The sequence below is a fragment of the Homo sapiens genome, chromosome 15 (assembly GCF_000001405.40).
Source record: "Homo sapiens chromosome 15, GRCh38.p14 Primary Assembly".
Taxonomy (NCBI): Eukaryota; Metazoa; Chordata; class Mammalia; order Primates; family Hominidae; genus Homo; species Homo sapiens.
The window spans coordinates 87,928,983-87,943,611 of NC_000015.10; the positions used below are offsets into that span (position 1 = coordinate 87,928,983).

At 45.8% G+C, this 14,629-nt stretch overlaps 1 protein-coding gene across 18 annotated transcripts in view; it reads right to left on the reverse strand.

Moving 5' to 3' along the window:
* Positions 1-14,629, reverse strand: part of NTRK3 (neurotrophic receptor tyrosine kinase 3) — a 396,989-nt gene that overhangs the window by 69,232 nt on the left and 313,128 nt on the right. For all 18 annotated transcript variants that reach the window (XR_001751292.3, NM_001243101.2, NM_002530.4 and 15 more), the window contains 3 exons: positions 11,641-11,771; positions 4,030-4,202; positions 209-452 (listed from right to left, as the gene is read on the reverse strand). Coding sequence is in view for 17 of the 18 variants with exons in the window: in NM_001243101.2 (NP_001230030.1) it covers positions 209-452; positions 4,030-4,202; positions 11,641-11,771 (548 nt within the window). In the remaining variant the exon portion in view is untranslated. The remainder of the gene's footprint in view (positions 1-208; positions 453-4,029; positions 4,203-11,640; positions 11,772-14,629) is intronic.

Sequence of the window (14,629 nt, forward strand, 5' to 3'; positions counted from 1 at the left end):
AGAAGAAAGAAGGAGTGGGCAATTGAGAACATAATAAACAGGTATGTCAAGATGCAAGAGAGGCCAAAAGATAACTGTTGAGTGCATGTCTGGGCATGGGTGTGTATATGTGTGTGCCAGAGTGACAGGGTTAATGGACAATGAAAAAGACATGTAAGCAAGGCGCTAGCTCTGTGGCTGAGTCCTGCAGCTGGGAAAGTCACTTTACCCTGTAATAATCCGTGCTGTAGACATCTCTGGACATGCCGAAGTCCCCAATCTTCACTAGCAGATTCGCTCCAACCAGGCAGTTCCTGGTGGCCAGGTCTCGGTGCACAAAGTGCTGGGAGGCCAGGTACACCATACCCGAGGCGATCTGACTGGCAATGTGGAGCATTTGGGAGAGCCCCAGCTCACCCTTGGCCTGGCGTGGCTGTCCATCCACAAGGATCATTGCATCTGGCCCATGGGCCCTGCAAGAGCATGGGGAGAAGAGAGGGGGCAGAGAGAAATCAGGAGATCAAGGAGAAAGGCCTTCCTGGGTCCCTGCCCTCTGGAATGCCCCACAGAAATAAATAAAATTTCCCTTTCCATCCTGCCTATGGCTTATTTTTATCTGCCCCAAATTAGATTATGTACGTGTGGGTAAGGGTGAAACTCCACAACCAGATTCTGGCTAAGATGAGAGCAGACATACTCAAATGGAAGAGGGAATAAACCTACTCTTTTTAATATTTCACTGCTTCCTAGGATTTTCACAGGTGCTAGATGTCTATTATAGAATAATTAGCAAAACAACAAATAACTCTGCCATAGCCCTTACTATATGCTCTGATTGTTTTAAATATTGTAATTCACTCAATTTTCCCACCCCAATTTTGAAATAAAGAAATTGAGGCACAAAATGATGAGATTGCTCAGCCAAAGTCCCAGAGGTCCAGAATGGCCATATGGGAAATCAGGAAGTAGGATCTGAAACCAGACATGTGACTGTAAAAAGTGAGCTTCTAAAAGGAACATTGGGAGTGCTTGTTCCAAGATTCCCTGGCCCTGCCCCCTAGGATTCTGATTGGCTAGGTGAGCTTGCTCATTTGCATCTCCCACTAGCTCCCAGGGCTGATGCTGGCAGTCCACGCTCAGTGGCCCTGGGACACTCCTAACCACTCCACCACACCGCTTAGCACTGGGTAACTTATGGCCATAGCAGTGCACAGTGGAGAGAGCCTCTGACCTTGAAGCATGGGTCTGGGGTACCCCCAGAACCCATTCCATCCCAAATCAAGCCCGGATTTGTTATTCTAACACCTTGCCTGATCATATCAGTCACTTTTAGCATTCACTCTTTTCTCTAGAAAGCCCAGTGAGCCGTAACCACACCCAGGGCCCTTATTTATGAAGTTGTGGACCAAGGAGCCCTGGTGTACAGCAAGGCCTCTGCCTGCTTTACTGCTTCTCTGATTTCCTCTGAAAAGCACCATTAAGTAGGAGCACATCCCTTTTACTATCTCCGGTGGGCTCTGCCTACCTCACTCCTCAGAAGGAGGAAGGCTGCATCAGCTCACAAGGAAGAGGGGTCAGCAGAGAAGCCCTCCCTTCTGTCTGCCTGGAGAGTGCACTCCAGCCTGCCTCTCAACACCACCAATATGGAGATGTGAGAGCAGGCAGGGTTGGCCTGCGGGTTATGGAGGCTGTGTTTGTGAGAACAGCCGACAGGATGCCTCCCAGGAAGGGTTGGTGCGGCCTGTTGCTAAGAGCTTCTGGTCTCAGAGAATTCTTTAGAAGGTCACCCTCGACTGATAGAGCCTAGGAAGACAGATTAATGGAACCTACTGGGAATCTGGTCAGTAGTGGAGGCTAAAGTTCAGATTTTGCTGCAAAATTGCCCCAGGAAGACTGTCGAGCCTTGATTTAGAGAGACTCCCCCATGCTGTCTTCAGGAAGGGATCCCATAGAGACACAGAGGTCTTCAGAGTGTCAGCAAGTCCTTGTAGAACTGTACTCACAGGCATGCATTCCCCATGCTGTCTGCCATGGAGAAGGCAAGGCACTGGCACTGCCCCTCACCTTATACACTTCTTTCTGTTTCTTCTGTACTCCTTTTTCTTTTCTTCTTACTTTCTGCTTCTTCCACTCCTTATCTTTACTCTAGGCTCTCACTCTTTATTTCCCTCCTACTATCTTCTTTCTCTTCCCTTTTATCATGTATGACAGTAGTGCAGAGGCACCTAGGAGCTTTCTTTAACCCTGCTGGTGGCTCTTGGGGCTGGAGATACTGCTGAATGTAAGGATAGGATGTGGTGAAAAGTAGGGCATGCCCTTTGGGCCCCAGGGGAACAAAAGGACAAAGTGAGGGCTATCCCGAATATTGAGAAAGAGTGTTGCCTAGATTAGAAGCTACCATGGTTCACAATTCTCACAAAATAGTAATAGTAATAACTTCAATAGCAGCTACCATTGGCTGATCACTGAACTACTTGCAAAACTTGTCTAAGCATTATACATATAGTCATTTAATACTCATAGCAACAACCCCGTGAAGCAGTTATTAATAGTCGTGTTTTCTAGGAGAGAAAATTAAGATTTAATAACTTGCTCCAATTTGCAACTAAGATGTGACAAATCCAAGATATGAACCCAAATCTGTCTTATGCTAAAGACAAAGTTCTCCAGGAAAGGAATCCATTTCATTGTGAATCCAGGTTTAGAAGGCTTAGAACATCCCACAGATGCTTTCATTTCCTTTAGGGCCATCTTTATAGAAACCTGACTCATAAGCAGAGCTCCAGAGAGTCCTCCATTCCATTGCCTGGTACTAACTCATTTCTTTGCCCCTCAAAACCACGACACCCTATTGAATGTCCCACTTCAAGAGGATGCTTAGCAGTTTTTGGTGAGTGGGCTAGAGCCTTCTATAATTTACATTTGAACTTTGGAAATCTTATCCTCAGCCACAGAGTTCAATGAGATTCAAATTGTGGTGGTCGCAGAGGCCACACCCTAAGTATACAGGGCCTGTGTGTTTAACCTGCTTCCTGGGGCCTTGGGTTCCAAAGACCTTCACATGGCTGTCCCTTCCACATCTGGGCACTGTTTGGAAGTGGCATCTGCAGAAGGCAGAGGAGTCCTAACTCTGCAATAGATGCTGTCTTCTCTTGGGAAGGGAAAGCCACCCTTGAAACTTCATCCAGAACTTCTGGCTGGCGTTCCAGTCTCTTACCAGTTACATTAAGAGCCCTCGAAGTCCAGATGGTCTTGTTCTAGGCTCGGAGAAACCCTTCTTACAACAAATCCTTTCTTTTTAGAATAGTACTATCCAATAGAACTTTCTATTGATGGAAACATTTATACTGTGCTTCCCTGTATGGTAAAAACTAGCCACATGTGACTAACAAGTAGTTGAAATATGGCTACTGCAACCAAGGAACTAGTGCGACTGAATTTTTAAACCTTATTGAACTTTAATTAATGTAAATCTAAATTTAAGTGGCCATAGGTGGACACTGTACTGTACAGTTCTAGAATTAGCCTGAAGAAAATCGGTCCCCTTTTTGTTTCAACCATCTCTGCCACCTGATGAATTGTAACCTTGGACCTTCTTACTCATCATCAAAAAGTCTCTAGCAGGAAGGTTTCCAGGAGGGGTGTAAGATACTAGCCTCACTTTGCAAGTGAGAAACTTAAGGCACAAAGGGAGAAAGCTATTTGCAACATCAGAGAAGGGTGGCCCTAGAATCTTGGAGTTGTAAGCCACAGGCTGTGGGGCTTCCAGACTCCTTCTGGACCTATTCCAGACCCTGTCCATTTTGGAATGAGGAAGAATAGTATAGGATACTTATCATAGTATCCTCAACTTGTTTTCCCTACAAACCGGGGACAAAGGCCTGAATCTGGCTGCTAAGGAGATCATGTATAAGAATGAATGTGTTCATCTAATTTCTCATCCTGAGAGGAAAGTGTTTAGAGGGGGTAGTATAATTTCTGGCTCCAGGGAAAACCCCAAGGGTTCGGTGGGACTGGGGTCAGGTGCAGGGGAAGACAATCCTTGCTTACCTGAGGAACTTATTCAGGTCTCCATGCTTCATGTATTCAAAGACCATGATGAGGGGGTCCCCATCGCCGCACACTCCATAGAACTTGACAATGTGCTCATGCTGCAGGTTGGTGAGCAGCTCGGCCTCCCTCTGGAAATCCTTCCGGGCAGCCAGGGTGGGATCCTTCAGGGCCTAGGAACAATGCAGGACACAGGTGTTTAACAACTACAGGGCAGGGGGCTGTCTTTTCTACTCCTGGAAAGAAACTGGCCCCACACACCACTGGGTTACCAATAAATATGAATCTAAATGGAATTTAAAGACAATGAAGCTCAATCTCAACTATAAGGCCTGACTCCTTCCTTCTCCAGCATTTTCATCCCTGCAGAAATAGAAACCCACTTTCTGACATCCACATCCCGTGCACTCTCCAGTGATTTCAAGCTCTGTTCTTCACAGAGCCCTGGGCTTCCGCAGGTGAGTGTACATGGCAGCTGGAGGGGCTGTGAGGAGGAAAGCCTGGCAAAAGCCCCTGCTCCTAAGGTTTTCTTTGAGGAAACTGTCCCACAGCTGGAATAAACAGTGTGAAAACCACTGCCCCAATACTTTAGCTTTGTGAATTAGTCACATGCTCATAGCCTATTGGAAACTGGGCAGGCAACACAATAAAATATCCTTGTCTTTTGGAGTCCTTGCTTTTAGATTGTGAAGGTATCTACATTTGCAGAGGAGAGTGAGCACTTTGACCTCTGGAAGACACCTGTGTTCTCCCAATAGGGGTTTGGAGGAAGCAATAGGGTGGGAAGAGTGGGGCGGCAGCTACGGGAATGGCAGTTAGTGGACAGAAATCTCAGATACACTCAGGGCCAGGCAGAGTCCTTCAAAGTCCTAGTGCAGGATGGAAAGGAGCATCTGGGGGCCACCAGAATGCCACCATTCAGCCTCTGTCAGGGTGAAAACTCAAGTGTGAGAAAGAGGTGCAAACCAGGCCACTTCCTGTAGGGCCCAGGAAGATGAATATACCCAGGTAGAGTGTAAGTTGTGCATGTGGATTTCCCAGCACCAGAAGGGGACTACAAGGCCAAAGATGAAGCCTTTGAGCACATCTGAAGGACCTTGGTTAGGGCACTGCCATGGGCCCAGCAATGCTGGCCAGATGGAAAATGGTCTGTGAAGAGGAGAGGCCCTTTCTGCATGAGGAGCAGCTTATGCAGGTGGGCGCCCCGATTTCTCCAGCCTCTCCACCCTCCCTATGAGGCCAGAAGGCAAATGGGGCCCAACATTGAGTTGTTTCAACTGACACACTTTAGCAATCTCAATAGACACAACACAAGGTAATGAGGAAGTGAGTGTAATATTGGCTCACCATTTTCAGGGGAGTGACAATCTAGACAGACTAGAGATTGGTTTGCATTCTCTCTGCTAGGCATCTGGCTTTTTCAGGATGACTGACCTCTCCTATAGATCATGCAAGTGCCAAAATGTCTCCCTCACCAGAGATCTTTCTCCTGTCCCTGCAGCCCCATTATCTGAAATCTGTAGGGCTTCCTTGGTTCTAGAACTGCAGTAGTGTGAATATGCCAAAAGAGGTGTATCTGGGGGGGTCCATCAAACCTCTCAGCCCTTAGCACACACCAGAAATGATGGACTTTTAGTATGAAAAGGGCCCTAGACATCATCTACTCCTACCTGCTCATTTCTGGAGTTGGAGAAACTGAGGCTGAGCCTGTCCAGGAATCAGCTCACATTCACACTAATTAAATGACAGACACTTAGAGTTTGACTGGACCTCAGTACTCTCCTGGTGGGCCTCACAGTGCCCCAAAGTTCAGTAGCAATGCCTCTAAGGTCATCAAGTGGAGGTGTGGTCTTCCAGCCAGAGATCAAGCCCCCTTCAACTTCAACCAGCACCACCTTCTATTCTTTTTAAAATTTGGAGGCTTCATAAAAATACTGCTTGATTAAATTAATCTACGGCTGACAAAAAAGTCGAAAGTTATCTAGTGTAACTTTCCCATTTTACAGATGAGATAACTGGGGTTCAGGATGGGGAAGTAACTTGCCAAAGATCACGTAACAAGTAACAGCTTGAGTCTGGAGCCCAGGACACTTTCCTGCCCAGCACACCTGCCTGAATTAATTTATGGGATAAATTAGTCACTAGGCAGGTCCCCAAGACAATGGTGGGCAGAGGAATAAAAGGACATGGAAGTATAGAAGAGAGGGTCAGGAAAGGGGTGGGATGTTGGCTGCCAACAGAGTGGCTGAGCCCAGCAAAGGTGCCAGGCTTGAGGATAGGGCAAGGACATGTGATCAGCCCAATGTTGATTTTTACCAGACCTCATTCTATGTGTTCTCCACTTCAAATCTGGCTGCTTGCTCTGGGAAGCTACCTAACAATAAACGAATAGGATGTAATGTCTACCTATAGCCAGAACAAAGACATTTGAGAAGTCAGAGAGTCATGGTGAAAGACAGTCTCTTCTGGGGACCCAGCTCCCAGCAGCAGCCTTGAGCTGTATGGGCTGGGTCATGGGTATTGAATGATGCAGAGTGGTTTATTTATTTTCATGCAGAAGAAGAAGAAGAAGGGGAAAAAACTGAACCCAGCATGGGTGGGATGGGAGAATACAAAGATTTATGTGAATGCTGGATTTATGAGAGGGAAAAGTAGGTCAAATTTGGGGCCAGCCAAATGGCCTCTCTCCATCTCTTTAAATCATTCTCTCCCACAGTCTGGACGTCAATGACAGCCCTGGGATATTTCTGTTCTCAGCTCTTGAGCAGCACCAGCAAGCATCCCCCAGGCTGGCACCCTGCACTGTGAGGCAGAGATGGGTTCTTCATTTGGGAGATGGGCACAAAGCAACCACCATTACTTTCAGTCTTCTACATCCCTTCTCTGTGCTTTCAAAGTGGGCTTTCCAGCTCTTGAGTCAAACCTGAAGTTCTTACCTAATTGGCCAAACGTAGGGTATGGCAACTAGGGTTGGGAGCTGCCAGTGGCCCTGTCCCCAGGGACTGATGCAATTAGAACAGAGGTGACAGGAGGAGAATAATGAGGAGGAAAATAGGGCCGGTGACTCTCTGGCCCCTCTCCGTGGGGTCCACATTTAACATCTTCATGTCTGGGAAACCTCAAAATGGGTCACCAGTCAGTGGCATGGGAAAGAACCGATTTATCATAGTTACCAACTATCAGTGTAGAGACATGCATCTTGCCAAGAGGTCTCTGAAGCTGGGGAGGCTCCTGGCTCAGGCGTTTGTATAGTATCTTTAGTACAAAAAGGAGAGCTAGAATTTGCCCTTCTTCTCTCCCTCTCTTTCTTCCAAAGTTTGGGGACATTTCCCTTTCTTATCTTCCCCTCTACGTGCATCAGCTGTCATGTCCACTCTGCCTTGGGGAGAGGGTTCAGTAAGGCTGTTTATTTGGATGGAAGGAAAATAGGCTAGATGGCAAGAACACAACTTCTCGACAGCTCCCAACTCTTCCTGGGTCATTCAGCATCTTCATGTCATCCAAACCCTGCTGCCCTCCATCTTACTTTCTTTTTTTTTTTTTTTAGGGGGAGATATTTCAAAGAATGTTCAGTTTCAGATTTCATTAATATCCTGAAATTCATTTTTATGATATACACATGATATACACACATTCCTAAATGTTCAAAGTCCTAAGTGGTAAAACACACACACGCACGCACACATGCACACCTATCAACCTCCTTTCATTATAAAATCATCTTTCTTTTAGTGACTCAAAATCCACTGCCACTTCCTCTGGGTGAGAGTCTCACACAACTTTACCAGGAAAGAAGATGGGTAGTTATTACATACAGGGGTGCCCCTCTCTTATCTGTCTTCCTGGCTTAAAACTGGCCATTGGCTTCCCAGTGTTTGTAGTATAAAATCCAAACTCCTTAACATAGTCATGGACTCTATAAGGTCTGGTCTCCCCATCTCTCTTTGCGTCCTGTCCTCGCACACACTCCTCCTGCCTCATTTATTACACTTCAGTCTCATGGCCTTTCCGTACTCTCCAAGATTTTCTCTGCCCCAGGGCCTTTGCTCCTCCTTTTGCCAGAAAACTCTCCACTGAGCTGTGTCTACATGACAGCCCAGATTAGCTGGCACTCCTTATGACCTCTACAGAACATGAGATCCTGAACACTCCCTGCAAGTTGGATACCCAGGGAGATACTACTTTCCCACAGAGGGGCTTACCAAGAGTCATCAGTGATTGTTCCCAAACTCATTCATGACAACTAAACCTGCTAATGTAATTACTTAATGTAATGAAATGTTCTAGAAACCAATGAAATATGAATGTAGATTGGAGAGTTTTTATGGAAGCTAGGATGAATGCTTTTAAAAAACCTGCTAAAGGTCAGTGGTTAAAAATACTGTTAAGAGTGGAAGGAAAAAGCATAAAAACATTGGGAAAATAGTAAAAATCCGAGATTCTGCACTCAGATTGTTTCACAAATGTTTTAAGCTCCTGCTTCAATTTAAAGTAATTGAAACTAGAAATTGTGACTACTCAAAACAAAAACCAAAACACCCTTCAAGCCAAAAGGAACCCAAAAGCTGCCCAGGGGTGCTGGGCAGGAAGAAATATAATGCTAAATCCAAATGACTAATATTATCAAAAATCAGGACATAAATTTCCTGAAGATAAATCAATTTTATTAGAATGGCTCAAAAAGATTTTTAAATAAGTAAATGCTCAAAAGGAGTGAAGAAATACATTTTCTAAAGAAAACAAGAAGGCATGCCACAAGAAGGGGGAGAAATAAAATTAAGGTAACAAAATTAAGAACCGATTAGATATCTTGGAAATAAAAGATATGGTCTTTGAAGTGAAAGCAAAAACCTCCACAGACAGGAAAAGCTTTAGACCAGATAAAACCACATGAAGAATTCATGAATCAGAAGACCACTGAGGTTCACCCGGGACAGAGTATGAAATGACAGAGACGAAAAAAAAAAAGGAAAAATGGGGAGAAGGATCTCATTCCCTCCTCTGCAAAGGAAGGGGGTTGACTGGGTTTGAATGCTGTGTAAATGTTCTATTTGTCTAATGATGATTTCAGAGTGGCACCACTTATTTAAGAGTCGCACACATGAGGTTATTTTAATGTCACACTTATACTACACATATGTGCAGATTATGTCCTGTGCAATCCTGCTCCCTCTCCCCAGCAGGCTGTAAGCACCTTAAAAATAGGCTGTGGTTTCTGCTTCTTTGTTTGTACCATAGCAACTGCTGGGCAAAACATTTTTGCCAATTGATTTGGGAAAACTTTATTGTGGGTTATACTTGTATGTGTTCTTTAGAGGTATAAAATTACTCTGCATCAACATGAGAACTAACTCAAAAGGAAGGGTCTTGCAAAAAGAAGTGGAATCTAAGGAGGGGAGGAAGCAGGAAACACCACTTCCAAGACGTTGTCTGGAGGAGATAGGCATCTTTTCCAGGCTGACCACTAGGCAGATCCACTGAGTGACACGTGTAAAATCCCAGACGGTTCATCTCCTCCAGATCCAAGGAAAGAAGGAAATCCTTTTAAAAGGATGGAAACAGAAACACATTTTCTGCATTACTCGGTCTGGGTACTGCCCCTTAATGCCAGACCACTCGGGGAAACATTTCCTAGGGTTTTCAGCCATCATTTCATTCTCTGCTGAAAGTGCAAAAATGTTCAGTTCATTCTCCAGTCCCCAGATGGATGCCGGAACACCCCGTGGATTAGTGTCATCCTATATATTAAAAATGCCAGGGCAGTGCAGATCCTAAGTTTAGGGTCAACATTAGAAACCTTTCTACATCCCTGCTCCAAGCTGTTTAAAGACACCCTTGTCCATCTGACCATCTCATGTCTATGCAGGCACACTGAGCAAGTTTATTTACAGGATGTACAGCAATAATAATCATTAGCCTTTTAGGATGCAGGACTCTTGTTTATTTTCTAGAGCAGAGGTCAGCAAACTATGCTTATTTTGGTAATAAAAAAAGTTATTGGAAAATACCCGCCCTCATTAGTGAATGTATTGTTATGCTGCTTTCCAACAACACAGGAAGAGTTGCAATGGAGAGTTATAAGGCCCTCAAAGTCTAAAATATTTACCTTTAGAGAAAAAGTTTGGTGACTCCTATTCTAGATAGTCATTGCAAGCTTGGCAGATCATATGTCATGTATCTAAGCACATTCAGTAATATCAACATCAATGACAATGATAATGATAGAAACAAATGCCAACTACTTTTTATTGAGTCTTTACTCAATAAAAAGCCCTAAGAAGTGCATTAAGAATTTTAGACACATTATGTAATTTAATCCCCAACATTCTAAGGAGAGGATATTATTATTGCTATTATACAGATAAGGAAATTGAGGCCCAAAGAAGTTGAGTGTTTTGTGAAATGTCCCAAAGCTTATCAGTGGTAGAACTGGGATTTGCACCCAGGCTCTTTGATGCCCATGCTATGCCTGCACTGTATTGCCTTCATTCTTCGAGGCTATTTGCCCTCTGTGGACAGAAACAATCTGTAGATACACAAGACTATGAATACAGAGACCCAAAAGTTGAAGAAACAGGAACTGCATTTGTGATCCCTCAATGCTAAGGATGGGACCATTGTGAGGTCTGGGTGAATGTCTTCACGGGGAGCCATATCTCTGGCATCGGTCAGCCCACATCTCAGGACATTGCAGGCTCTACACTGGCCTCAGAAGCCTGCTCACTGCACCCAATGAAGCCACTCCAGACTCCAGAGAAGGGCTCCAGAGATCTGTGCGTGCCTCCATGAGGCTACTTGACTCTTTTTATGTTAACCATGTTCAAAAATTTGTCCAATATTGGTTTACAAAGAGAAGCTGTTGACTGCTGGGTGGAAGAGTCTGGAAGGACAACTAGTAGTAGCAAAGTCCCTTCTCTCCTACCCCAAGCAATTCAGCTCCTGCTGCAAATCTGCCACGTGTCTTGGCAATACAGAAGCCCTGTGGTTAAGGGAGCCCTTCAGCAGCTGCCAGGAGGAAGTTTCTCCCAGGCATGCTGCCCCTTGGGGTCTGAACCTGAAACCCATGGGAAGTACCTAAGAATTTCTCCAACCTCACTCACTATTCTCCCAGTGCTAACCCCCTACCTCCCTGCTGCACCCCCCTCCCTCAACATCTATTCTCAGTGACTTCTGTGCCCTTGGGAAGTGGTTACCCAGTCCTCCTTAATCAGCCTGCTCTACAACAGCTCAGCTACTGAGAAATGGCCATGTGACTTTCCAGGCACAGACAGCACGTCCTGTAAAGCCACTACATGGTGAAGGGTGGAGTGTGGAGGGCCAGGCCTGGGACAGAGGTAACCACAGGGCCACTAAAAAAGGACCAGGGTCATTTACAAGAATAAACTTGCTCCCCTGGCATAGCCCCCTTAAGTGCTGCAGCCCTTGACCTTGGAAGCCAAAGGAAGTTGTTTTGGTCCCTAGGAAACTTCATTGACCTCGGAGCAAAGTCCTTTGATTGCATCTGAGAAAGCCAATTGAGCACTATCTTCTCAAATGGAGGGAGCCTCTTCCTTCCCTCCCTGGGCCCTCAGCCAGCCCTCCTCCTGGTGCCGGCATGCCTCTGGGGTTTACCTTCACAGCCACAAGCATCTTGTCCTTGGTCGGGCTGAGGTTGTAGCACTCGGCCAGGAAGACCTTTCCAAAGGCTCCCTCACCCAGTTCTCGCTTCAGCACGATGTCTCTCCTCTTAATGTGCTGCACATCTGTAGGATGGGGACAAAGAGGAGGGCAGCAAATCAGTCCTCGTTTGGTGACACAGGGAGACAGAAGAGTACAGAGGTCTAGCGTGGAGAACTTGGTTCTGAGCCTACAGCAGGCAAAGGCAAACTCTAGCACACCAGCTTTAGCATAAAAACTGACATCCCTCTGTGGTTTGAGAGTATGGGCCAGAATCAAATCTCAATGCTGTCCCTGAACAACTCCTAACCCCTCTAAACCACAACATCCTCTGCTGGCAAATGGAGTTAGTAGTTAATGCACAGGATTCTGGTATTCATTAGCCAGAGTTGTTGGAGATAGCACAAAGCAGTCTCCACAGTTTTGTGCACATGAATCCCCTGGGAATCTTGTCAAAATGAAGATTCTAATCCAGTGGGTCTGAGAATCTACATTTCTAACAAACTCCCAGGTCATGTCCCTCTGCTGTTGGTCATACTTTGAAAAGCAAATTTTCCAGGGTACGATTGAGAATCAGGTTGGAATCCTGGGTCCACGCCATTACTAGTTTTTTGAGCTTGGGAAAGTTATTTAGCTCCAGAGCCTCAACTTCCTCATCTGTAAAATGGGATTAACAAGAACAACTTCCTTGCTGAATTCTTGTGAAGATTAAATGAGATAATCCATATAAAGAGCTTGGCCCAGTGATGAGGACAAAGTAAAGACGTAGAAGACAAGACACACGCATGCACACACACATACACATACACACACACACACACACACACACAAAGACACATTGGTTTTTGTGGTAACATAAAGGCTGTAGTGACCCCATCACAGTGCCTGGTTCATGACAGAGACTACTAACGGGTAGCTAAGATTATCTGGGGGAAACCCCTACTTGGCCAACCCTTCTCTGAAAGAGAGAAAGACCAATGAGATCACAAAAGGAAAGTTCACTGTCCATCCAAGAACGAGGGTGTGTGCAGAGAGAAGGGTTGCCCCTGCCTCTGCTAATTTAGCAACCTAATTAAGGTCTGTGTGCCTGGAGAAAGCAGAGCTGTGACCTCAGCCCTCCCACCTATTTGGAAAGAATGCTACGAAGGAGTTGTACAAGCAGTGGGCTGGCGATGAAAAGAGCAAACAGGAGATTACTCACTGACCTTTACATTAATTGTTCAACAGGCAGAAGCCCATTAAATACCTGTATTCACATTTTGAAGAGCATTGCTGAGCCAAAAAGTGGATTATCCCAAGCGACTTTGTCGAGAAATGAAAGCTGCAGATCCTGGGCCATGGCAGACCATCCCCATAAATGAGGAGACGTAATAGGGACAGAGGGGCATGGCTGGAAGCCTTGGGGTAGTGTTTTTTTGGTTTGGGGATTCCTTTAAGAATAAACTACAGGAATCTTTTTCCTCCCTTCAGAGTCCTTGGTATCCCCACAGTGTCGCAGATGATCTGCCTAGTAAGGATTTGCGAGAGGAAGCATTTACAGACTATTATTTTCTCCTCCCCCTAGGACAGACCTGCACGTTAACAGCTGCTGACGACCGCTCCTCCCAAGCCACAGGCTGCAATGCGGCTGCTACACACTGCAGGGCTATGCCCCAGTCTTTACAGGGAGGGGATTAAAACTGGTTCCCTTCTTCACACTTTCTGTCTCTGTTTCTCAGCCTCTGAGGAATGGTATTTGTTGACCTTGGAGGGCAAGGCTAAAGAGTCTCCCACTGCGAGAAAATAGGAAGTCAGGCCCTCTCTCGGGAGGCCACCTGCTCCTGCTACCTAATCATTCCCAGGTGACTAGGGATGACACATAGGTTCTGCAAGGTGAGTGTCCTGGCACGGCCTGGGAGTGAAGACAGGGCTCACGATGGCAGCTGTACAATGTCAAGCCCACATCTCTGAACACGCCGGGATTGGGAAGGCCTGGGAAGCCACAGGTGCTTGCTTCAAGACCTGGATCCTCCAAGAGCTTATGCACCTCACAGAAAAACAACAACCATGAAATCTTGGGTCTCAGATTTCTCACCTGTAAAATGGGTATGGGGAGAATAGTACGAGTTTAACTTACCTATTACCTGAGCATGGAAGTTTGTAAACCTTTAAGTCCTCCAAAATGTAGGCTGTGTTTTGGCATTTTCATTATTATTGATATTATTTTACAAAAAGGAGAAATGAGGGCCAAATCAGGCATCCGCACCTGGTGACTGAGCTGGGCATGGGATTCAGAGCATCAGGACATGGCAGGGTTGCCAAGTTACTTGGGGAAGAGCACCGTTTGGCCCCAGACTCCACCCCAATCCCACCTTTCCTCTGCATTGTAATAGGAGAACTTGAGAATGCGTCAAAATCACCTAGACGGCTTGTTACAACAGATTGCTGGGCTCCTCCACCAGGGATTCCAATCTAGTAGGTCCAGGTTGAGGCCTGAAAATATGCATTTCTAAGTTCCCAGGTGCTGCTGGTGCAGGAACCACACTTTGAGAATCACCAGAACACGGCTTCTTTGGTGGGGTGGGAAATTAGCCAGCTGAAGAAGTTTACCTTTACAACTTGGCCTAAACAAGTACCATGCTCACAAACAGTTTAGCCATGCCTCACTTCCAGAAGCCCAGGAGAAGGTGAGACGTCCTGGGCTTAGCTCAAAGGTCCTCCTTCCCTCCTTAGCTGTGTGGCCTAGATTGAGTCAAGTCCCTTCTCAGAGGCCCAACTACCCATCCATGCAGTGCAGATCATGCCTCTCTTGCCTTCTTATGTTCTAGAAACATCTCTACAAAAGGCAAAACAATATAGATTTTCCTGGGTCCCTAAGTACAACTCTGGGCTGGGAGACCTCACCAGCTCCACTCAGAACACTCACTCCCAGCTACAATTAGTGCAAAATGGGAATGGAGGAACT